Source organism: Homo sapiens, chromosome 18 (assembly GCF_000001405.40).
Source record: "Homo sapiens chromosome 18, GRCh38.p14 Primary Assembly".
NCBI lineage: Eukaryota > Metazoa > Chordata > Mammalia > Primates > Hominidae > Homo > Homo sapiens.
The window spans coordinates 54357883-54383792 of NC_000018.10; the positions used below are offsets into that span (position 1 = coordinate 54357883).

At 34.7% G+C, this 25910-nt stretch overlaps 1 protein-coding gene across 10 annotated transcripts, besides 2 other annotated features; it reads left to right on the forward strand.

Moving 5' to 3' along the window:
• Window positions 1-23: 23 nt before the first annotated feature.
• Window positions 24-24153, forward strand: C18orf54 (chromosome 18 open reading frame 54). Of its 10 annotated transcripts, none has more exons than XR_001753148.2 (9): window positions 24-988; window positions 2645-2973; window positions 3761-4549; window positions 4889-5039; window positions 7837-7939; window positions 14584-14715; window positions 16332-16402; window positions 20292-20444; window positions 23794-24152. XR_001753148.2 is itself a non-coding variant. In NM_001288980.2 (9 exons), the coding sequence occupies exons 3-9, from the start codon at window positions 2691-2693 to the stop codon at window positions 20362-20364; spliced, it is 1602 nt and encodes a 533-aa protein (NP_001275909.1). In that variant the 5' UTR covers window positions 24-193; window positions 892-988; window positions 2645-2690; the 3' UTR covers window positions 20365-24152. The 10 variants fall into 10 exon arrangements, 8 of the variants coding, with proteins under 8 accessions (NP_001275909.1, NP_001275910.1, NP_001357238.1 ...); NM_001288980.2 differs by having other exon boundaries at window positions 24-193; window positions 892-988; window positions 20292-24152; NM_001288981.2 differs by having other exon boundaries at window positions 24-92; window positions 959-988; window positions 20292-24152.
• Window positions 528-1039: an enhancer, noted in NCBI's record as "H3K27ac hESC enhancer chr18:51884780-51885291 (GRCh37/hg19 assembly coordinates)". NCBI's record gives its function as "activates a minimal SCP1, AML or CMV promoter by ChIP-STARR-seq in naive H9 embryonic stem cells {active_cell/tissue: H9 hESC(naive)}" and the evidence as "EXISTENCE:reporter gene assay evidence [ECO:0000049][PMID:30033119]".
• Window positions 541-610: an enhancer, noted in NCBI's record as "active region_13349". NCBI's record gives its function as "activates an Ori minimal core promoter by ATAC-STARR-seq in GM12878 lymphoblastoid cells {active_cell/tissue: GM12878}" and the evidence as "EXISTENCE:reporter gene assay evidence [ECO:0000049][PMID:35858748]".
• Window positions 24154-25910: the final 1757 nt, after the last annotated feature.

The window sequence follows — 25910 nt, forward strand, 5'->3', positions numbered from 1 at the left end:
GCGCATGCGCACCGCAGGCCGGCGCCATGTTGGGGCGGTTTGAAAGCGAGCGCGGGTGTCGAGCTCTGCTGTGACTGCGGAGGAAGCTGCGAGTGAGCCGAGCCTGAGGCGGGGCGGTGTCCGGGTTGGGGATGCTTTGTGGTGTCTCGCGTTGGGTAACAGGCCTGAGCTTTCGGCGGAGAGCTGTGGAAGTGTGCGGTTTTTGTTTTTGTTTTCCTTTATTTTTATTTTGGGGCCTTAGGGGTGAGTTAGGACGGAAAGGAGGGTGTCTTTTCGAGGGTTGTCCCATCCTGTGACAGCCGAGAAAAGGCGAAAGGAGAGTGGCGAGGAAAGAGGAGGAGACGTCTCCTGAGGGAGGGCGCTTGTGGAGTCTCTGTGGAAGGAAGAACACTGTAGGGGGAGTGCCCCCTGGGCGAGGGAGGGTCGCGGGACGCGGCGGAGGGGGCTCACACGGGCGTCTGCGGACCTGAGGCGGCGACAGGAAGGGGCTTGCGCTCTGGGGCTGTCGCTTCGGAACACTTCTCCTTCAGTCCATTGCTGCGCTCGCCCTGGCTGCTGAATAAATGGTTTCGGAGTGAAAAGCATCTCACTGAAGAACTTGTCTGTGTCTGTGACTGACGGGCGGTGGAACACCAAAGGGAGGGTGTCGCCTGATTGGGACTGGAAAAATTGGAATTCAGGGCGCCCGGGGTAGGGGAACGATGCGCACTGCTGGAGACGGGCGACCTTCGCTGGCCGGTCGGTGGGTTCCTGGTTTTCTGCTGCCGAGTAAACAAACGTTCCCTTTCCTAACTTAGCAGTCACAGAGCTATTTCCAAGAGTTGTTCTTAATTTCCTGTGCGATATTCCCATTGGCTATTTAACACTGAACATTCTGTTTTTGAATCAAAGTTAGTTAAAATTTGTTGTCAATAAGTTTAACATTCTGTTCTTCCGCGTGATGGATTTTCTTTTGGAGATTCGAACTGAAGCCTGTACGGAGGAAATGGTAAGATATATGGGATTTGCATGAGATATGTGGGGTTCAAAATAATCCTGTGGCTGAAGTGGGGAGAAGTGGGTGGGTCCCTACCCACTTTAGCTACAATTGGGGTCTGTTCAGCGATTGTTGGAAGCAGGATGATGAGTACATAGGGGTTTATTGAACGATTCTACTTTTGTATACTCTTTTGGGGAAAAGTTGGAAAACTTTTCATAATGAAACTTAAATTGTGCATTTTCTTTTTGTCTGTCCTGTGAGTTGAAATAACTAGTAAATGTTATCACCCACTTACGGAGACCAATACAACAGCTTTCTCTTTCAAGGTTTTGTAAAATAAAATCAGTAGCCTGTTCGGCATTCAAAGACAGAAAACATTTGGTCAGGCTTATCCAAACAAATTTACTTGAGTGAGTTTAAACTTCTTTAAATAAAAGGGATACGAAAAAGGTAAAGCTGGCTTAGTTTAGCCATTCGTCAGAGATATACCAGTATTACAGAATTCAGATAAATCAATGAGACGAAACAACTGTTACCTTATGTTCTGCCATTTGCACTGACCACGGTCAGATCTCTTGTAATGGCCATTGCATGCTCTAACGCTGTGGTAGGATGATGTTTTACTTTGTCTCTTATTTAATTAGAAAACTTTCGATGTTTTAAAGCCAAATTTAATAGTTACTAAGATTACATTAAAAGTTGTTATAACAAATATTTCTAAAATTATAGCCAAAAATTAAACATTATAACATCATAGCATATGTTAAGTCCTCAACATTAATACTTTTTTAGTATAGGAAATCCATTCATTTAATTTTAAAAAGAATGTCATCATGGACTGAATTAGTGCCGGTTCGTTCTGTGATTTCTTAGGTTTTCAAATATACATCCTGTTACTGTACTGAGGTAGACAGGGATTCTCTCAATTTTAATAATGGAAAAACAGAAGAACACATTGAGTTGATTTTCACATTATTTAAGCTTCCTTTGAAAGAGGTGAGCTGAATCCATTTAACATAAGAATTGAAAATAGGGAGGGTGGTACCAAAAACGAAGGTCAGGAAATGATTAACTATTTTAGGAAAAGTGTATATTGCTAACTCATTCCAGAATAAGACCTGCAGTTTATTTACAGTTAAATGTTGTAAATGTACTAGCATTTATAACATTGAAAGTGAATATTCTCCATTGTTCTTGTTTTGAATACTTCATTTGATGGCTTTAAAAAATTTATTGAGCGCTATTATCTGCAGCACATGGTAGTAGGCTTATGATTTGAAAAATATGATGTATAGGGGAATATTAGGTATTGTGATGTCATAGAATATATCACCATAAGAGAAAAGAGGTTCATAAGTAGTTTTTAGGACTTTTTAAGAAGTGAGTACTCTCTCCTTGGTATTTTCCATGTATATTCTCAGATAATTTTTGTATACATACTTCCAGCCACATAGTAGGTACTCAAAAAATGTTTTCTAAATCATTGATGAAGGAATTCACAATAATAAATATAACAAAAATCTACAATTCCTAACAAGGAGTGTCTGTTATAGATAATGGATTTTATTATTTAAAGAAAATTACAAAAGGTTTACATATTTAGTAATTTTGTTTGTGTATGGTCACTTTTAATTGGCATCTTAACATTTCGTTTTTGTATTACAGTTGTTTTTAAGGGAAATGAATAGAAACAATCCACTTTGAAGAAGCCATGGCGAAATCAAAGACAAAACATAGACTTTGTTCTCAGGAATCTTCAGTATCTGCCCTGCTGGCAAGCTGCACCCTGAGTGGTAGTAATTCCTCTAATTCTGATGGCTCGTTTCACTATAAAGATAAGCTGTACAGATCTGCTTCTCAAGCTCTACAGGCTTATATTGATGATTTTGATCTAGGCCAAATATATCCTGGTGCAAGCACTGGAAAAATTAACATTGATGAGGATTTTACTAATATGTCACAGTTCTGCAACTATATTTACAAACCAAACAATGGTATGCTTTTATTCTTTGTTTTCTTTGTGTTCAGATGTTTTGAAGCATTTGGGAGATGTACTGTAGTATTGTAAAGTTTGACATTATTTTTGTTACTTTGGAGTAAAAATAACATAATATTGAGATCTGGGTGTTTTTGTAAAATGATTATATAATTCTCTGTGGAACAGTAATATTCACAAGATGTTAAGAGTTTGTCCATAATAAAGCTTCCTTGAAGACAAGTTTGGAAAATGCAGTTGTTGATAAGTCAATTACTACTTTACTTAACACTTGCAGAATGACCCTAGAATAGAAAAAGTTTGTATTCAGTTCTTGGAGGGATGTGGTCAATATATTCCGGAAGCAAAGAATGAGAACAGCTGTTCTCTATGTATAATCCATGCCATTGAAGGGTTTGTAGGTGAGAAAACAAGTTATTTTTCCACCTAGTTTAATAGCATATTTTTTTCTATGCTGCAACCAATATTGAGTGACCAATGTTACTGTGATTGTATTAGTGTATCAGATATGTCTAGATGATGAAAGTTGAAGGAACAGTAAATTAGAGAACACAGGAAAATTCAGGAGGTTGGAGAGAAACGTAGAAATTAACACAGAACGAAGAATCGTGAGAAAAAAAGCACATCCTGTTTTATCCACCTACACCTTTTTATGCTTTTAATCAAAGCTTTAGTGAGGATAAGGGGAAAGCAGCAAAATGCCTCTTAAATTCTTAATTCTCATTTACTGTTGGATATTATAAAATATTTGTATGTAATAAACAAAACTGTTCTTCGTTTTTCAGCTTTTGAAAACCTTGATCACAAAAAGCACTCAAACTTCATATCCTGTAGAAGACACACCGTTAATGACATAGACTCCATGAGCCTAACAACTGATGATCTATTAAGACTCCCAGCAGATGGATCATTTTCTTATACTTATGTTGGACCGAGTCACCGAACGAGCAAGAAAAACAAGAAATGCCGTGGAAGACTGGGTTCATTGGACATTGAGAAGAATCCACATTTTCAAGGACCCTACACTTCCATGGGCAAGGATAACTTTGTTACTCCTGTTATACGCTCAAATATAAATGGAAAGCAATGTGGTAGGCTGAAAAACCCAAAACTTATGAATAGGACTAATAATTGCATTTCTGAATCATCTTTGTCTTTTCCCAAGAAATCGTCTTTCAAGGACAGTTCAGAACACAGTCTTGAAAAGAATTACCCAAGATGGCTCACTAGCCAGAAATCTGACCTTAATGTTTCAGGGATAACTAGTATACCTGATTTCAAATACCCAGTCTGGCTGCACAATCAAGACTTGCTACCTGATGCAAATAGTCAAAGGGTTTATCAGATATTTAAAGATGATCAGTGTTCCCCTAGACATAGTCATCAGGCACAAGGAACTTCTCGGCTTATCAATAAATTAGATTGTTTTGAATATGCTTTTGAACCCTCAAACTTTTCAAATTCCTTGAGTGATGATAAAGAATTAGTTAATGAATACAAATGTGATTTTGAACATAGCCAGTGTCAATGTGAGAATCCACTTCTCCCAGGACAATCCACAAAGCCATTCAGTGGTAATACTTTGTTTATTGCTTATAGTTATTTATTTTTCTTTTTTTTAAACCAAAAGAAGTGCTGTAAAGTTGATGTGATATCTGGGAGCTTTTATGTTTTGTTTTCATGTAATACATCTTTTTGGAATGCTTATAATCTTCACATACAGCATTTTGTAACTAGAAAATGTCTTTTCTCCCATTTTTTTCTTTGCTTGAAATGTCACATTTTAACATAATTTGCTGTTATAGATGAATGTACATTCCAAATGATCAGAACTCTTGTTGACTTTGTGAGATTTTGCTATGCTTTACATTAATTTTTTTCTTCAAGGATTAATAGTCATCTTTTACAATTAGGTGACAAAATTGAATTGCTTATCTTGAAGGCCAAGAGAAATCTAGAGCAGTGTACTGAAGAATTACCAAAGTCCATGAAAAAGGATGACAGTCCTTGCTCATTAGATAAACTTGAAGCAGACAGATCATGGGAAAATATTCCTGTTACTTTGTAAGTAAGTGGCAATGGAAAAACTGTTTAGTTTTCCAAATGAAAAATGTCATGCGAATATCTGATTTATATTTAAACGAACGGTAATTAATAATATTGTAACTCCATAGAACATAGCTTTGTGTTACTTGCTTTAAATTGCATTTTTCATTTATTACCACAAGATGGTATAATGGTTCATAATCTTAGGTACTTTATATAACATCTGTCTTTGTTACGTACTCATTTTGTTTCATTATAAAATATTGATAAGCATCTTAATATGAGGGATTAGAACCAGAAACAATTATTTTGCAGAGTAGTGTTATGAAATTCTTGTTATTTTCTTCTGACTTAAAGCTTTTCCTCTGTTCCTCTATAGTCTCTCCATATAATGGAGTTGTACATTTCTTTTTCTTTTCTTTTCTTTTTTTTGAGATGGAGTCTTGCTCTGTCACCCAGGCTGGAGTGCAGTGGCACCATCTGGGCTCACTGCAACCTCCGCCTCCTGGGTTCAAGCCATTCTCCTGCCTCAGCCTCCCCAGTAGGTGGGATTACAGGCCTGCACCACCATGCCCAGCTAATTTTTGTATTTTTAGTAGAGACGGGGTTTCACCATGTTGGCCAGGCTGGTCTCTAACTCCTGACCTCGTGATCCGCCCGCCTCTGCCTCCCAAAGTGCTGGGATTACAGGCTTGAGCCACCGTGCCCGGCCTGAAGTTACAAATTTCTTATCATTTACTTTTTACTTTCCCTTTTAGTTGTTGTTTTCCTTAAATGATGGTACATTTTCTATTATCAGAAATGCATTATTGCTAACCCCATATCATGCCTTAGGCTTTGATAATTTATTATCTTTAGTTGTCTAAACTTTCATTCTGTTATAGACAGAGTCTATTAGTTCCTGGATTCTTTTTGTTTTTTATTCTCAGTTGATTGTCTCTTTTCAGAATGTAGGCATTGACTATAATTCCAGTTTAGAAGCCTACGTCTGCCATTTTCTTGCTGTATTGCCTTGTACAATTTACTTGACTTCTCTAAACTTTAAAGATGGAGAAATAACGTCTGCTTCAGGGTTATTGTGAGGATTAATTTGACTAGAAAATGAAAATGAAGTTTCTGACCTAGGATGAGCTCTCTTAGAAATTTTAGTAGTGATGATGATTATCTAGAATATTTTATTTTCTTCTTTTAGCTTCATTTCTCCTTATATATTTCATATATATATGTTGAGATATATATACATATTTTTTTTAAACTTGATTTGATAATGAGTTCACGTAATGCTTAACTTCTCTTATCCTTCTTGTGTCCTAGTTGCTTATTTTATCACTTGTTCTGTGTATTAATAAAGTATCATAGCTGCAATACTTTGATTTTAATTGGAACCAAAATGGGCAAGCAAGTAGTATCAGAGGTGCTTAAAATTATTGAATGCACTTAATGTATTTTATTATTTGATAATGTAACTTCTAGCTTGTATAATTAATATTATCAATAGTTTGGCTCAGTACCTTGCATATAGTAATTCATTTTTGGAAGACTGAATTTATATTGTGAAGGGAATGTTTGTAGATAAAACTAAGGGTGAATTGCTGAGAAGGAATAGATCTCAGTTTGAGATTGACAAATTATTATCAACCTGTCATCAAAAACAAAATTGAATAGGAAGTACTCAAGGTAGTATTTTAAGTGGTAGAGCAAAACCACAATCAGATCATTGCTTTTTTAAAGAAACTTTTTATTATGGAAAAGCTCAAATAAATTACGAAAGTAGAATAGCATAATGAACCTCTGTGTACTCTTCAACAATCTGGTAAATGTTTTTTAATAACAGATGGGTGGCTCTACAAAGTGTTAGCAAAGAATAGGGGAAAGGACTACCTGATAGTATGAAAGAGCTTGTGAATTAGAAATCAAATATGTCAATAAAGAAGCATGCTTATTAAGAAAAAACATCAGCATTCTGTAAATGTTAAAAAAAGATTCTTAGATATCTGAGTTCTTGAGTTACAAACATACCTCATAGTGTTGTAAGAATAAGAGAGAAATAGGTTGAATTCATTTTTGTGATTAATAGAATTTGATTCTCGGAGCATTCTTATTTTTGGTGGGGATACCCTTTCTTCTACTACCCCGTGAATATCAGGAAAGAAATGGGTATTTATTAAATGTACTAGGTACATAGAAAATTAATTCAGTTTATGCAATATGTCTGTGAGATAGATGGGACTACAAATGTTGAAACTGAAATTCAGATAAATTACTTAAGGTCATATAGTGAGTGGGACTGAGATTGCATGCAGGAATGTTAAATTTCAGAATTCTCTTCCCAGAATAATCTGTTCTTTATGTTAATACCAGTTATAAAGGGGAAGTCTGTTCTGTTGCCTTCAAGTAGGAGAACATTTAACTGCCATTCTAGTAAAAACTTTTAAGAGTTTATGGGGTTGTTGATTATTAGATGGTAACAATGTTTAATTGGAAAAATGTACTGTTTATTTCAAACAAGGTGAGCTTTTGGAGCACAGTCTGTAGTTCAGGCCTTGTTTAGCTGAATGTTAATATCTTCAGTTTCTTCATAGTGTTTTCTTAAAGCTTGAAGACAGAAGCAGGGAGATAAGAAGGGGTTGGATTCTGGTATCAGTTTAGGGAGAAGATAAGGGAATTACCATACAACATTAATATGAATCATATCCATGATGATTATTTCTTGGTGACTACTTGTATTTAAATGAGAATTCTTAAATTATATACTGTTTACTTTTTAGAAATTGGGAACTTAATTGCTATCTTGCATCCTTTAAATCCTGTTTAGCAAATCTCCTGTTCCCGTTAACTCTGATGATAGTCCTCAACAAACTTCAAGGGCAAAGAGTGCTAAAGGGGTTCTTGAAGACTTTCTAAATAATGATAATCAGGTGGGTGAAATTAAAAGTTTTAAAACTTATTTAAAGATATATGAATAATATGTAGATACTAATTTTTAAGTTACTTAGATAATTTAAAGCAAAAAAGACTCAAATCTTCTCCTCTCAAATACCCATCATTCCTTCCAGAATTATTGATTATATTATTTTTTATAATATTTTAAATTTTTAAATTAACACATAATAATCATACATATCTATGGGATACATGGTGATGGGATACACTGTGAATATACAGTGATCAAATCAGGGTGATTTGCATACCATCATCTCAAATATTTATCATTTCTTTGTGTTGGGAACATTCAAAATCCTCTCTTTAAGGTATTTGGAAATATATAATAATTTATTGTTAGTTATAGTCAGCTGATACTGCTTTAGAACACTAGGACTTATTTTTTCTATCTAGCTGTAATTTTTTTATCCTTAAACCAATCTCTCCTTATTCCTTACCTCCCTCCTACCTTTCCCAGTCTCCGGTAACCACTATTCTACTCTCTATTTCTATGAGATCAGCTAGTAAGCTTTCCCATATAAGTGAGAACTATGATATTTATCTTTCTGCTCCTAGCTTATTTTACCTAACATAATGTCTTCCAGAGTCATACATTTTGTCACAAATGACAGGATTTCTTTCTTTTTGAAGGCTGAACAATATTCTGTTGTCTATATATGTCACATTTTCTTTACCCTTCTATCTGTTGATGGATACTTAGGTTGAGTCTATATCTTGACTATTGTGAATAATGCTGCAGTAAACATCAGTAAACATGGTTGTGCAGATATTTCTTTGGCATATTGATTTCATTTCCTTTGGATATATACCCAGTAGTCAGATTGCTGGATCATATGGTAGTTCTATTATATATTTAATTTTTTGAGGAATCTTCATACTGTTTTACTGTGTCTGGCTGTGTGTGGTGGCTTATACCTGTAATACTAACACTTTGGGTGGCCAAGGTTGGAGGATTGCTTGAGTGTTTAATAAAAAAAAAGTCCATAATTGATAATACTAATTTATATTCCACAAGTGATTATTTCTTAAGGGTAAGTTGTAATGTGAAATCTTAAACCATAATAATGACCTTCTTTGTCTCTTTCTACAGTTGTTGACTTAGTCTGATTTGTCTCGTATAAGTAAAGCTACTCCTACTTCCTTTTGGTTACCACTTGTGTGGAATATCTTTCTCCATTCATTCACTTTATGTGTATCTTTAAAGGTGAATGGAGTTTCTTGTAGGCAACATATAGTTGGACAATGTTATTTTTATCCATTCTGGAAGTCCATCTCAAATTTTAAGTGGGGAATTCAGTTTGTTCACGTTCAAGGTTAATATTGATAAGTGAGGACGTATTCCTGTCATTTTGTTTACTGTACTCTGGTCATTTTATATGTTCTTTCTTCCTTTTTTCCCCTCATATTATCATTATGGTTTGGTAGTTTTCTGTAGTAATGTTTTATTCTTTTCCTTTGTGTATCTGCTCTACCAGTAAGTTTTATATTTCCATGTGTTTTCATGATGGTGCTTATCTTTTTGCTTCCAGATGTAGGATTCCCCTGAGCATTTCTTGTAAGGCAGGTCTAGTAGTGGTGAATTCTGTTGGTCTTGGTTATGTAAGAAAGAGTTTATTTCTTTCATTTCTGAAGGAAAGCTTTGCTCCATATAGTATCTTGGCTTGCGATTTTTCTTTTCAGCCCTTTGAATGTATCATCCATCCTCTCCTGGCCTTTAAGGTTTCTGCAGAGATATCTACTGTCAGTCTAATGGGAATTCCTTATATGTGACTTCATGGTTTTCTCTTGCTGTTTTTAGAATTGCCTTTGCAGTGTAACCATAGTGTGCCTCTGGGAGGATGTTTTTGGCTTAAATCTACTGGGGGCCATTGAGCTTACTGGATTTGGATGTCATATGTATTCCCAGACGTGGGAAATTTTCAGCTATGATTTCATTAGGTTTTCTGTGCCTTTTGCCTTCTCTTCTCCTTGTGGAATTCCCATGATAATAACATTTGTTCATTTTATAGTATCCTTAAGTCTTGTAGGCTTTCTTTACTCTTTTTCCTTCTCTGACTGGGTAATTTCAAATGACTTATCCTCAAGTTCGGAGATTCTTTTGTCTATTTGATGAAGTCTATTAAGCTCTCTATTGTATTTTAAAATTCCATTCATCGAATTCTTCACTGTGTATTTTCTGTTTGGTTCTTTTTTTATGATTTCTGTTTGTTGACTTTGTTGCTCATATTGTGAATTGTTTTCCTGATTTGGTCAAATTATCTGTCTGTGTTTTTTTGTATCATTGAGTTTTTTTAAAAAAACATGATTTTGAATTCTTTTTCCACCCATTTGCTGATTTCCTTTTCATTGGAGTCTGTTACTAGAGTTATTATATTCCTTTGGTGGTGTCATATTTTCTTGGTTTTTCATATTTCTTGTGTTTGTTTGTTGGTATCTTGGCATCTTTCTGAATTATTTTCTGTGTGTTTTGTTGATGTTTGCTGTGTTTTCTTAGAACAGCTATTTTGAATTCTTTGTTTGCCAGATCATCTGCAGGTCTTTAGGATCAGTCACTTATTTTGTAGAGGTTTTCTGTTTGGATTTGTCTGAAGTTTTCTCATGATTAGAATGAGGTTATGCATTTTTGGCAAAAATACTGAAGAAGTGATGTGCTCTTCTTACTGCATTATCTCAGAGGGCTCATTATATATTGATATCATTAATATATTGATAAGTTAATGCAGTAATAGTAATATATAATAAAGATATAATATGTAAAAACTGGTTGTATTAACTTTGAACACTTGGTTAAGGTGATCTTTATCCTTACTAAAGATACCGATTTTCCTTGTAATTATTAAATATATTATAAAGCACTTTGAGACTTTGCAGATATCCTGTTTCTCCTCAAACTTTTGTCTACTAATTTTAGTATCCATTTGTGAATCCTATCTTTTTTTCTATATTTATTAACTGAAAACCTTGTATAATGAAAAACTATCTTTATATTTGTTTAGCAAATTATATTAGTACAGATTCACTAATTTATTTTATTCTTGGTTTAGAATGCAGTATAATTAGTTACGCTGCTGTTCAAATTGTTTCAGGTTAGGCCATTAGGAGTTCCTTCATGTTGGCTCCTGTGCCTTTTTATATGTCTGCATTCTTTTTTGAGCATTTCTTTGAGGAGCCATGGTTCTTTGTATTGGAAAATGGCACTTAGAAACTAGGATCTAGGCATTAGTTGTGCTGAGTGCTACTAGGGTGTTGTTCATTCTAAACTATGTCAGCAGGAAGACCTAGGAAACAAGTTTGCCAACCCACATATACTCACATATGTACATTTCTTTATCTGTTTATCTGTGTACATATATGTGTATATGTGTTTACATATAAATAAACACATATATGTATAAAATCATGAGTATTGATACCTCTGATTCCAGTCTAATACTGCAGTTTGTTTTAGCTTTTCCCATTCCCTATTTGTAACTTTCTCCCCATGATAATCCTTTCATTATCTACAGTAAATTTACTTGTTTGTTCAGTCTTATTATACATGCAAAGTGGTTTTAGAATTGCTAACCCATATTCCTGTAATTAACAAATGTACTAACTAGATTACATTATTTGTATATTGCTTTTTTTTTTTTTTTTTTTTTTGGAGACAGTCTTACTCTGTCTCCCAGGCTGGAGCGCAGTGGCACAATCTCTACTCACTGCAACTTTGCCTCCCAGGTTCAAGCAGTTTTCCTGCATTAGCCTCCCAGGTAGCTGGGATTACAGGCACCCACCACTACACCCGGCTAATTTTTGTATTTTTAGTAGAGGCAGGGTTTCACCATATTGGCCAGGCTGGTCTTGAACTCCTGACCTCAAGTGATCCACCCGCCTCAACCTCCGAAAATGTTGGGATTACAGGCATGAGCCACCATGCCCAGCTGAATATTGCTCTTTTCGTCTTTAGCCTTATAATATCATAACAAAATACTGTTTTCCAGAGTTACTTAGGTTATTTTCTTCCCAACTCTCTTTGGTGTGGTTGTGCTGTTTATTTATAATACTGCTAGTTGGTTCATTTGTCTTTGTATACAGTTGGCCCTCTGATGTGTGGGTTCCACATCTGTAGATTCAACCAACTGCAAATTGAAAATCTGGAGAAGAATAATAAACATAACAATACAATAATAAAACATAATTTAACACTTTGGGAGGCCGAGGCGAGCGGATCACGAGGTCAGGAGATCGAGACCATCCTGGCTAACACGGTGAAACCCTGTCTCTACTAAAAAATATAAAAAATGAGCCGGTTCTGGTGGCGGGCGCCTTTAGTCCCAGCTACTTTGGAGGCTGAGGCAGGAGAATGATGTGAACCCAGGAGGCGGAGCTTGCAGTGAGCCAAGATTGCGCCATTGCACTCCAGCCTGGGCAACAGAGCGAGACTCTGTCTCAAAAAAAAAAAAAAAAAGTTTAAAACACAATGTGCAAGTATTTACATACTGTTGACATTGTAGTATTTATTATCAGTAATCTAGAGATGATTTAAAGTCTACAGGAAGATATGCATAGGTTATATGCAAATACTGTGCCATTTTATAATCAGGTACTTGAACTTCCTTGAACTTTTATATTCACAAAGTGTCCTGGAAACAGTCTCCCAAGAAAACAGCGATGACTATATATTGGGTTGTCCTCTTGTTCTGTTTGGTTTAAATAATTTGTTTTTTGAATATATGAAATGTCACTATGGTTCTAAGAGTCAAAGATATACAGAGATGTACCCGGAGACATTTACTAGCAGGTTTCAATGACAAGTCTCAGAACAAATTGTATTATCCATACAATATTTTTAAAACATTCATTAACATTGGCACAAACAGTTCATATGTTTTCTAGTTTTCTGTCTTCTTTTGATACTCTGACCACTGCTTTGCATGAAAAGTCACTTAGCTCAGACATAAATTCCAGAGGCAGCCTTTTGTAACTATTATGGTTGGCATAAGGCAGCCGAAGTTCTAAAATAAGATAGTGGCTGGATGCAGATCATTTGGAGATTATGCCTCAGATGCTATCTCCCAGGGTGTAGGAGTATATCCTAACTGGATCCTTTTACCCTGTTTTTTTTTTTTTCTTTTTAAAATGTTTCTTATATTGTTGTGTTAAAATATACATAACATAAAATTTACCATTTTAATCATTTTTAAGTGTACAGTTCTGTGGCATTAAGTACCTTCACATTGTGTGTAGCTATCACCATCGTCCATCACCAGAACTTTATCTTCTCACACTGAAACTTTGTACTCATTAAACTCTAACTCCCTATTTCCCCCTCTCCCTAGTCCCTGGTAAGTAGCTTTTTACTTTCTGTCCCTATGGACTTGTTACTATAGGAACCTCGTGTAAGAAGAATCATATGTGTATCTTGTTGTGACTGGCTTATTTTGGTTAGCATAATGTCTTTAAGGATCATCTATGTTGTAGCATTTGTCAAAATTTCCTTTTCTTTTTAGATTGAACAGTTTTCCATTGTATGTATGTACCACATTTTGTTTATTCATTCATCTGTTGTTGGACTCTTGGGTTATCTGCATCTTTTGGCTGTTGTGAATAATTTTGTTGTGAACATGGGTATACAAATATCTACCCAAGTCCCTGTTTTCACTTCTTTTGGATATATACCTAAGAGGGAAATTGCAGGATCATTCAGTAATTCTATGTTTAATTTCTTGTGGAATTCCTATACTGTTTTCTACAATGGCTATAGCATTTTACCTTTCCGCTCCATTTCTTATATCCTGTTCTATAACTGTGGAAGTGTCTTTAAAATCTTTTTAACCATACTGCTTACCTTGAGTATATTATGCTAATCAACAACTTTCTATAGAATTGAAGTTTAAGTAGTACTTATGGTGCACAGTCTATGCTGAAATATATTAAATTACAGACATCTGTACAGTCCTATTTGTTACTTGGTAGATAGCTGTTAGGACACAGAAACTCATTTGAAAGATGTAAAATAATAGACTGGTAAGACTTTTAAAAAGAAATTTTAAAATATCCCTCACCGATTATCTTAAAAGAATCCTGACCATCTTATGTGTCTTAAGTACTGCTGCGTTCTTTGAACACAAATAAGTCCAGGGGTAATCGAGCTATGAGTGTTATTTAGGTAGAAGGAATGTATGGCCCATGAAGAGGTGAAAAGCTAGCATTCTGTTATAAAAACATATTTTAAAGTGTGCAGAGAATACTGTATTTGAAATTTTAGTCCTTGATCAGCTGTAAAGAACATGTTGGTTTACCTGTCCTCTGAAGACCTTTCATTTCATTTACAATTTGTGATTTTAAATGTGCGAAATTAATTTGTCATAAATATAAACGTGCACTATTTATTTCAAAACAGCAATGACTAGAAAGGATATGCCAAACTGTTAATCATGATTGTCTTTAAGTAACTTCACCTGGGGCCTGGGGATGGGGAAGTGGTGAGTTACAATTTTGATTTTTTAAAATACTTTATTGACATACATTGTTTGGAGTTTTACATTAATTTTCTATTGGGGAAATTAATACAAAATAAAACTCTTCTTTCCCTGAGCTTGGATGGTTAACTTTATACTATCATCTGTTTTAACCTTAGAGCTGTACTCTCTCTGGAGGCAAACATCATGGTCCTGTTGAAGCCCTGAAACAAATGTTATTTAACCTTCAAGCAGTACAAGAACGTTTTAATCAAAATAAGACCACAGATCCAAAAGAAGAGATTAAACAAGTAAGCACAAACATGATTTATGAATTGAGATTTGTGAATTTGTATAAAGATTTTTTTCTACATCTTTTAATAGACCTACTTATAGTTTTATGTTAGTAAGCATGCCACATTACACATGTTGTAAGTGGCAGTAGTTTTTTTTTGTTAGGAAGTAATGTACTCACGTTTAATTCTGTTTGATTTCTGTAGGTGTTTATCTCTAAACAGATTGTTCTATTATGGTTATAAATCCAACATCTTATTTAGTTATGATGGTGTTACAACTATAGTATCAAAGGGTTGTAAGAGTTTTGTAATCCTCTACAAAATTAATCTATGTGGCCCATCTTCTGGTAGTTATATTCGAGGAGGCCTAGAAAACTTTTTCAACATTAGATTCCTTCACACACCTTTCTCCTTTGAAATTTAATTTTGTTACTGTGTGTTCATTGGCTGTTATGAATACAGTTATATCAAGTTTTATTTTAGAGCCATTTTATTTTTTCAATTTGTGTATTTCCCGGGAATTTGAAAATCTGTTTCTGTTTTAGGCTGCCATTCTATATGATGAATTTTTTCCCACAAAAGTATAGTGTTTAAGAACATAGAGTTTATATTTTCCCAAATATGATTGTGAATTCTGTCACTTACTAGCAAGTGCAATATTTGTGCAAATCATTTAACCTCTTTAGTTTCAGTTTCCTATTTAAAAAATTATTGATTTTTAATTGACAATATATATATATTTTGGGTGTACAACATGATGTTTTGAAACATCATGAAATGGCTAAGGGAGCTAATTACCTCACATACTTTTTGTGGAGAACATGTAAAACCTGCTCCATTAGTAATTTTCAAGTATACGATATGTTGTTTTTAATTTTAGTCACCATGTTGTACAATAGATCTCTTGACCTTATTCTTCTCGCCTAACTAAAATGTTGTATCCTTTGAAAAACATCTCTGCAACTCCCGTCCCCACATCCAGATTCTACATATAAGTGAGATTATTATTCAGTGTCTGTCTTTCTGTGCTGGGCTTATTTCATTTATCAATTTCCTTTTCTGTATAGTGAGGTTGTTGAGAAGACAAATTGAGACAAACTATATAAAGTACTTAGTATAGTGCTTGGTACATGGTAAGTGCTCAATAAATGATGGCTCATTGTTTTATTGTTATTCAGTAGATCTGTGAAATTGAGTTTTCATTACAAGTGAGTGGATCAGCTTTTGAGAACCTTCATAGTCTGCTCATTTGAGTTGTATTTCTTAATTTCTGTCCTTACATTCTAATAATCATAACATTAATATGTAGAATGTAATCTATCTTTCTTTCCCCTCTCATTCTAAACATCATTGAGATATAAGCCTGTTCAATAAAGTCATAATTTTAAGCGAAGACTTGATTTTTAATGGACATATGTGTAGAAGTATACTTTAGGACAGTTGAAAAATGGCTGTTAGTTGTAGTGTTTTTACAGTAAATGGAAAATAAAAATATTTAATACTCTTGAAAATTAGAATTGTTTGGAAATGTAGAAAATATTTTTTAATGTTTTAATCACATTTTCAATACCATTTAATTTTGTAGTTATATAATTTTAATATTTTGTTATATTTGGTGTTTTTAATAATAGGTTTCAGAAGATGATTTCTCTAAATTACAGTTGAAGGAAAGTATGATTCCTATTACTAGGTCACTTCAGAAGTAAGTATTCTTTACTAATATGGATACAAATCCATCTTAGCCATTTCTTTGACATATGTAAAGTTACAGGGTAGAAGTAAGTAGTTTTAAGAGTAGCACTACTAGGCATATTTAAGCTTCTTGGAGCACACTGTTTACACTAAAAAACATTGTTTTCTTTTAAACTTGTGCTTTTTCCTATTCAAAGTGTTCTAAGGACCTAATGAGATAGCCTTAGACCTCTAAAATATAATGGATATGACTCATTTTTGAGTAGTAATAGCAACAATTTATGATAGTATTTTTGTGAGTATCCTATAACAGTAACTTGTATGAAATGTGTTTTCATATATTCTCTCTAGAATAAATTTAATAATAAATGGATCGTGATTTGGAACATCATTACAGAAATCTAAAGTAGATATAATGACCTGGATATAAAGATAGGTCTAATTTTCTTAGTTACAGTGTCTTAAATAATAAAATGGAGAAAAATACAAGTTGTTTCTATAGTCATGATATTGACAGAAGAGAAGGGTATTTATTTTGGAGTTTGTTGTGTGACTATGAAGTGTCCTCAGAAGATGGAATACTGAACTTAGGAAATACTGAGATTAAAAGTTTCTACTCTAGTCACACCATTTCACTTGGCTACCTTTTGTACTTTGAGAATTTGCTTAGGCTTCTGTGATCTAAGGAACTGGTGGAAAATAAAACACTAGACATGTAAACTTACGAATCTAATTGTCACAAATGTGTATATAGTTTTCATAGTTAAAATGTATCATGTATGATTACTTTTTTCTCTCTACTTAATTTATTATCTTTAGGGTATAAATAATGCACCTTTGTTTGTAGCTTGCCATAGTACTGGGGTATAATGTTTCATACCTAATAGAATTCAGTGAATAATGATAGTAATAGCTAACATTGAATGTTTACCAAATTTCAGTATTCTAAGTGCTATTGAATATAATTCATGTGATCTTCACAACCTTATGAAGTAAGTACTATTATTATTTTCATAATACAGATCGGAGAATAGGCATGGAGTAGTAAAGTAACTTGCCATAGCTAGTAAAAGAAGCGGGATTCAGATCAGGTAGTGTGATTTGAAAGTCTGTATTTTTAACACTACTCTCACTAATGATAGTGATGAATTATTCATTGAGACTAAGAACAGGGCCTCAGTTGATCATCTAGTATGAAGACTTCATTCTGCTTTAAAATTTGAGGTGAATGACCATAAGTTTTCCATTGCTCTTTAAAGCATTATACTGCACTTGTCACAGACCTATATGTGTTTTCTGAGTTAATGTACATATCCTAGATGTTTTTCCTGGTGAAAACTAACAGTGGATTGTAAGTCATTTAATCACCACAAAAATCGATACTGATCTATAAGTGCTTTTACCATTTGCTAGAATTTTTTTAATAGTAACTTTTTTTCTACTATAAGCAATCAATAGTCTTACCTGTATATGGAGTTTCATTTTTAGAGAGAGTAAGTTTTATGTTTTGTTAGATGGCCTTTAGTTATTAATTCTGTTGTATTAACTGGAGCAGTCTTAATTTGTCTTTACATTTCTAAAGTATTATCAGTAAGACGTTTGTACTGTAATGAAGTAAGCTTAGACTTACAAAAGTTATTTTCAGTCTGTAGATTAACTGTTTTAAGGACAATTTAAATTTAATTACATCTCAGAATTCCTTTTTCCAGGCGGCAAAATATTCTGGTTAGGTATATGGTCATCTTTTCATACTTCAAATATTTCAAATGTATTTCAAAATTTACAAAATATTTCCAAAATATTTCAAAAGTTACTGATTATACTTTGTAGGCTTTATTGGCCTTTCCTAAGGTAAAATCCTATTATGGCTCTTTACATTCCTCAAATAACAGTTTTTGTTTTTAATAATTTGGATGGCTATCCAGTTTTAAGATATATTTCATTAGCCATAGGGAACTGTAAGCTAGTAGTCTGGCCTTGTCTAGTCCCTTAAATACTCAGTTTTCTTATATTCTTCAATTAGAAATATGTGTTCTCTAGGAAGACTCATTGGAGCTGGGATTACAGGTGCATGCCACCATGCCCGGCTAATTTTTGTATTTTTAGTAGAGATGGGGTTTCGCCATGTTGGCCAGGCTTGTCTCAAACTCCTGACCTCAGGTGATCCACCTGCCTCGGCCTTCCAAAGTGCTGGGATTACAGGCACGTGCCACCATGCCTGGCTAATTTTTGTATTTTTAGTAGAGACGGGGTTTTGCCATGTTGGCCAGGCTGGTCTTGAACTCCTGACCTCAGGTGATCCACCCACCTCGGCCTCCCAAAGTGCTGGATTACAGTACTGGCCACCACGCCCAGCTGAATATTTTAAAATTTTAGTTATTTTACCTCTGATTGGTTAGTAACTTTGGGTGAATTATTGTCACTTAGTCAATGAAGGTGGGAATCTCAGAAATTAACTGAAGTTGCCAAAAAAGGTGAGAGAATTGAGAGTCTTCTTATTACATTTGAGTAAAAGTATCCAAGAAGTGTATAGTACAGGGAAATAGATATACATGCAGTAAATAATGCTACTAGTTTCCTTCCATCTCCTTGTCCTGGGTAAAGTGGAAGATGCAGTTTATTATACATTTATTGAACAACTACTGTGTGTTAGAGACTATAGAATAGAGTGTTGTAGTCATTACCTTTCTGCTCACCATAAATGGAAATTACTAACATTGGAGGTTATTACACAGCTTATGTTTTTTTTTTAAATTTAATTTTGTTTTTTTGAGATAGAGTTTCGCTTTTGTTGCCCAGGCTGGAGGCTGGAGTGCAGTGGCGCGATCATGGGTCACTGCAGTCTCCACCTCCTGGCAAGCGATTCTCCTGCCTCAGCCTCCTGAGTAGCTGGGATGACAGATGCCAGTCACCACGCCTGGCTAATTTTCTGTTGTATTTTTAATAAAGATGGGGTTTCACCATGTTGGCCGGGCTGGTCTCGAACTCCTGACCTCAGGTGGTCATATCATCAGGTGATATGCCCATCCCAGTCTCCCAAAGTGCATGGATTACAGGCGTGAGCCACTGCTTCCGGCCCTTCCTGCACATCTTAATTACTATATTGTCACTCTGTTTTTCCTTAATATCCTTCTTATTTATTAAAGATCTGAAATATGACTAATTGATGTTTTCTGAGTGGTCCTCCAGGAACTGAAATATAGGGGAGAGAAAAACTGGAAAAATATAAATTAGAGAAGGCTTGGAAAGTTAAGGGCCTCTTTTCCTGGTTTGAGGAATGATTGAGTTTTCTCCACTGAGACCTGCAATACAATCTTGGCATTATTTCAGAGAAAAATCTAGGTTGTTGGTATAACAACACATTATATAGACTTATTGGAGTAGTTGGCAGCTTCCCCTATGATCAATAAAAATGAGTTTTGTTCAGATCTGTAACTAATCCTTAAATGCTATTTAAAAAATAGCTATCTTGAATGTAAATGTTAAAAATAATTTCTGTATTTTACTTCTTAACTAATATACACAGGATACCAAAAGCAAAGGTGTCATTTCACAGAGCTGTAGTGAAAATTACTTGAAAAAAGTGTTCTTGTTAAGTGTGATACAACTGATACCTATTGTTTCTTGTTAGGGCACTTGGCAGACTATCTTAAAAAAAGTTAATGTCAAAAAATATAATTTTTAAAGTAAATGTTTATAGAACTTTAGATAAATTATTTTAACCCTCAATTATTCAGATCTCAAGGTTTTATAAGGAATAAGTCTCAAAGTTTATATAAATTTACTTCTCATACCAATTTTGAAGTTAATAGTCAACTTTATTTATTTTTTTGCTGTCTGCATTGGCTATTCAGTTCTTAATAACTGGTTTATAATGTGTTTTATACTTTTTAATGAAGGGCTTTGCACCATTTATCTCGCCTGAGAGACCTGGTTGATGATACGAATGGAGAACGGTCACCGAAAATGTGAAGAGGAAAATGAAACTGTCACCACAATGAATAGTCACCACAGAACAAATAGGCATTTTTTCTATTACTTAAACTGACAAAGTAAATATAAGCCATACATTATTTTGTGGTTGGTTCAAGGATTATATATTTCTAAAACACTAAACTTGAAAATACCCATAGGTTTTGGGACCTATCTTTATTTTGTGCCAACATACTAGAATGTGAACTGCAAGGACCCACAATATATCCTGAAGTCTTACTTTCGCCTTCTGGCCAGCAAATGTCTAATATTTAAAGATGGATGACTTCTGTTCTTGAAGCTTACCTGGATTTAACCTTCTTCAGCATCCTCAACATTTTATTACCTGGTTCAGGATCATTAAGAAACTTACTGGTTTTTATCCAAAATCTTTTACGTTAAATAGACTTTTTTAAAGATATAGTTAGCATCACTTTTAAACAGCTTAAAGGAATATCAAAATTGTTATTGTGTATCTCATCTATAAGGAAGTCTGTTACTTTGAAATTTTCATAAATTTAATATTTAAGATACATTGTATTTGAAAATTGCATTAATAGTGGGGTGATACTGTGTTAAAAGGAATGTTGTGTTGTGACATTCAAGAGAACCTCCTCATTTAATTAGTACTTTGATTCTGTGTAAGATAATCTTGGTAGTGCTTGACAGTTTCCAAACCTTTTTTTGGAGAGATATTTAAGAATTTAATATTTTGATATTAGATTGTTTCCCAGATTTTAATTTTGGGGTTGGCTCAAACTAGTGAAAACTATGACTCAATGGCCAATTGCTTTATCAAATTTGATAACTAAAACTTAAAATGAATATGGAAAATCAGAAAGCAACTCTATTTTAGAGCTATTTTGTAAGAGTTGTGCTTTCTTTAACACCATCTGTAGTCTTAAGTTTGTCTCTAGCTAGAACTGAACAAAGCTCTATAATTTTTACCAAGCACTTATTATTAATACTTCTTATAAGTAGTAAGCATCTTTACTAACACAACTGAGAATTAAGTCATAAAACATAACTAATACAGCACATTACTGCCTGACAAAATTAAAGAGTACTGTGTGTATGTATAACTACTACAGGTTAACACTTCACCCAAATGATAGCGTTTTTCCTCAGTAGATTATTGTCAAATAGGAATTTCTAAGCACATTGAGTCAAAGCATTTTTTCCAAGTTAATAAAGTGTTATTTACTATCTTTGTTAGAGGTGACATGTCAAACACTACAGTGAGCTCTGTGGGGTTTTTTTTTTTTTTTTTTGCCCGTGAGTTTTTTACCATGCTGCTCTGACCAGTTTGAGTGGCAATTACCAATAGATTTGTTTTCTTTATTCTATGGAGATGTTTTTACCACTGACACTGTTTTCTGATTATAGTCTGCTTCATAGAAAATAGCCTGCATAATCAAACAAGGAGTTACTTTGAAATTAAAGTATGCCTGGCTATTAAAAATGCAGATTTTAGGTGGGTAAACATCAGGTAGGTCTGGGTGGGTCATGTTCTAGGCCTAGAAAAATACACTATTAGACAAGTTCTAAAGAAGGCAAGGAGATAAAGGCATCAGGTGGTAACTTCTAATTGAATATTATATGTTGATCATACATAATATATACTATGCCTGGAAATTATGACTGAAAAGCACCTATTCGGTTAGTGCTCCTATTCATGAGAACATATCTCCAATACTAAATGAGATAAGCCTGTTCTAAAATCTTATAGCCAGTATTTTAAGAAACTTGATTATACTTACCAAAGGAACATTGTTTGTTTTCTCTTGTTTTAAATATGGAGAGGTTTAATCCTTTACATAACAAAGGAATTAATTTTAGCAAAATGATTCATTCCAACCTTCTTATAAGAAATATCTAGGAGAGTCAAGTAAGAAAAATAACGAATCTAAGTGATAAACATTCAAGAAATTCTCTAAATAAGAGATTTATTTATAATTTTAATATCTCAGGGTTCTTTTTAGGTTTCCAGGGGAAAAGAGCAGGATAACAGTGTGGAGACTGCTAAGTTGAGAATTTAAAACAAATGAGAACATAAGATTTTTAAAATTGCATTGTGAATGTAAAATTTTTATCAATCCTTTGCTCTCTTTTAGACATATTGAGAAAATGTTAAATAGAAAAAATTAAGAAATTTTAATAAGATGTTTCAGATCTTTGAGTATGAAAAACATAACAAAAAAAGCCTAATTTCAAAAAACTATTTGAGATCAAGGGACAATGGTGTGACCAATATGAAGGGTCAAGACTGAAATGTATTGTCTTTACTATCAAGAACTCTACTTTCAGTTGTTTCTCAGACAGTTAATTTCAGCTTCATAGAGATTTCTGAGCAAATTAAGAAACACTGTTTTCCTGGGTTTGTTTTGGGTATATGTCATTATAGTTATGTTATTTCTTGTTGAAATTTATAATTGTAGGTTTTTTGTATTGTTTTAGTATTTAATGGTGTATAATGTGTTATTACATTATATGTAGTTATACCAAAATATTGCCTGAAGATAAATCATGACAAGGTCCCCTGTTTATTCCTGTGTTACAGACGCATGGAATTGCTCCTGTAGATTTGAATTTTTGTTTCATTTTTTTCTGTCCCACCCTTCACTCTCTCTGTTTCAGAACATTTTTGGTAGAAGTGCTATCCAGAAGTGAACTTGTCAAAAGGCAAGTAGCATGAAAGAAGACAGAAGAAGCAAAAGGCTAATACAGTGGATAATTTCTGAGCACTTGAAGTTTCTTCAAATGTGCAAGACTGTGTGTCTTCCTATTAGATGTATAAATTGGATATTTCATGCCTAATTAAATGTTGCGTTGGATTGCAGTGCCTATCATACAGTGATTGGAGTAAATTGAGGCCTAATCCTGAACACATATAGAGCATATTGTTAGATATTTTTCCTGTGACATTTGAAGTTATTATTCTCCCATTTCCTTTTTCTTTTTTTGTTTATAATCATATGTCCCTAAGATTGTTTTCCTTTTTTGGACCAAAAAAAAGAAAAAAAAAATCTTAGCTTTTCATCCTCCCAGTGTATTCTGCATTGTCCTTACCCTAGATCAGCCCCTTCTGTGTTAACAGTTTTTCTCACAATGTAGCAACTTTTATCCACCCTTCAGGACCTTCACTGGGACTAGTTCATTCATTTTCAAATAGCTATTTCAACCTTTAACATCTACTGTCTTAGTCTTTTACACAGAAGCCAGAGTGACTGGTCTTGGCAAGACTCTGTTGTGTATCACCACTCTAACCTTACTGATTTGTTTCAGCAAATTTGCTTTAGTTAAATTGCTTTACTCAGATTCCCCCAAACTTTATATGTGTATTGTCATCTTTGTGCATATTATTTCTCATGCATGAAATACTCAATTTTTATTCTTTTATCTAACGCTTACTCTTACATTTCTTTAAAGCTCTGGCCAAGTATTTTATTTCGTCCCTAAACATTCTAACTATCCACCAAACTGGTAAGTTGGCTTTTCTTTTTCCTCCCCCTGTCATTCATTTAGCTGTTATATTTCATTTTAATGTTTTGGGTGGTGCCTCTTATACTATGTTGTATTCCTAGACAAGGAAATGTATATCAAAATATGTTAGATGATTGATTGTTTTATCTCCTTGATGATAGCACCTCTTATACTGCTTTACAGAATCAGGAAAAAGTAAACTGCATTTTACATAGTGGTTTTAAATATTGATTGATTGATATTCTAAACCTGGTTTCCTATATAAAGTTGTAAGTTCAAGATAAAGAGACCACATTCTTTACTCATGTGAGGTTCTGGAAATCCTTTATTTCTTTTTTAAAAACATTTTGATAACTTTTTTTTTAAATTTAAACCTTTTTAAGAGCAATTTCAGGCTCACAGCAAAATGAAGAAGAAAATAATCTTCACAGAGATTTCCCATAAACCTCCTGCTCCTGCACATGCCCAACCTCCCGTTTTCATTGTCTGCCACCAGAGTGGTGAACAATTGGTGAACCCACACTGAATCATCATAATCACCCAGAGTCCATAGTTCATGTCAGGGTTCACTCTTGTACATTCTGTGAGTTTGGGCAGATGTATAATAAACTTTGGCTCCACCCCAGTATGCAATCCTCTCAGTGCACAGGCCAGTTGGATTCTGGGGACCCCTTCCCACCTGGCTGTCTCATTCCCCTCTAAAGTACATCTAATTGCCGTTAGAAGAAGGATAAGGATAAGGACGAAGACCCATCTTAACTGCTTCCTGATGACAGGGAGCACTATTTTGGGAAAATGGCAGTCAGAGCTTCTTCATAGGCCTGTTTAAGGGTTCCCAGCAGAAGGGGCCATCATCGGAGGCTCCGGTTGCATGACCATTTGGAGTTTGATGGCCTAAAGGCAAGAACAGACAAACCGGGTTATTAAAAAATATATGTCAAAACGAAACAAAGGGAGAGGTAAGGACAGCTCAAAGATCCCAAGGCTTTTTACCAGTTAGCACAGCAATAGGGAGGTCAAAAGCCTGACTGGTAATAAACACTTTTACCCTTTTGCCAGCATGTTGGGCTTCTGGATTCCCTTCCCCTGAGCCCAATACTAAGCCAACCAGTTTAAGGTTTGGGAAATTAACTTTTCCTAGTGCGAAGGGTGCATCTGAGGGGAGTGTCCTGTAGCTTGGAGACACAATTACCTATCTGTGAAGAGAGGACAAAGGAGGGAGAAAGATAAAGGCTCTTTTCAAAAGAGTCCTAGGAGCTCAGGATGCATTTGAAAGGGGTACAAACTGAAGAAGAAAGGCCACCCATCTAGAAAGAGGGGAGCAGGCATCCCTGGTTCCCTTCTCTTTTTAGCAGATACCCGGGGTACGTGAGAGAAGGATGAGCATTCTCCTCTTTCGTCCTTGTATCCCTGAGTCCTGGCGACCTTGGCGGGTACCGCCATGGATGTTAAAGTGACTTTCACTCATGTTAACGGGGCCTAGGGGGTGGGAATTATCCACTCTTCCCACATATGTTCTGTTTCCCCTGCTGTCCATAGCCTTGAATTCCCTAGACCTCATTTATGCCATGAATACTAGCATGGCCTTTATCTATGAAATGGGAAGCGTGGCTTAATTGACAGGAATCAGCCACGTTCACCTGTGTTGTGCCTTTTCCGTTATCATCTGTCTCTGGATCCCTCAGATCCAGTTTTCCTTCCTAGGGCTTTGACCTGAAGCTTGGAATTGAGTTTGGGACAGAAATATGTCTCAGAGGGATTTGCACGGACTTATTACCATAAGACAAATGCTAAGGTGAAGCTGTGGAATTGAGTCCTCCAACAAGGGAGAGAAAAGGATGTCTTGTGATACATCCAGATAACTCGTGGCTATAGTTATGCTGCTAAGATTTGGGTGCATTGTGCTTGGCTTTGTTTAGCTCCCTTGGTCTTACTTTCCCATAAAGGAAACCTCCAAGTGATGGGCATACTATTTATTCCCATCACCTGGCAGGATTTGCAGGATAACTGCTCAGAACTAGAATATTGATCCAGATTTTTACATTACCCATCCCTGTGTTCTT

Bases quoted from the DNA above. Each gene is read 5' to 3' on its own strand.
- C18orf54 (NM_001370309.1), top strand. From the start codon at position 2,691: ATGGCGAAATCAAAGACAAAACATAGACTTTGTTCTCAGGAATCTTCA. The intron at 5,040-7,836 runs GTAAGTAAGTGG...AATCCTGTTTAG, and splicing joins GAAAATATTCCTGTTACTTT to CAAATCTCCTGTTCCCGTTA. The intron at 14,716-16,331 runs GTAAGCACAAAC...TTTTAATAATAG, and splicing joins CAAAAGAAGAGATTAAACAA to GTTTCAGAAGATGATTTCTC.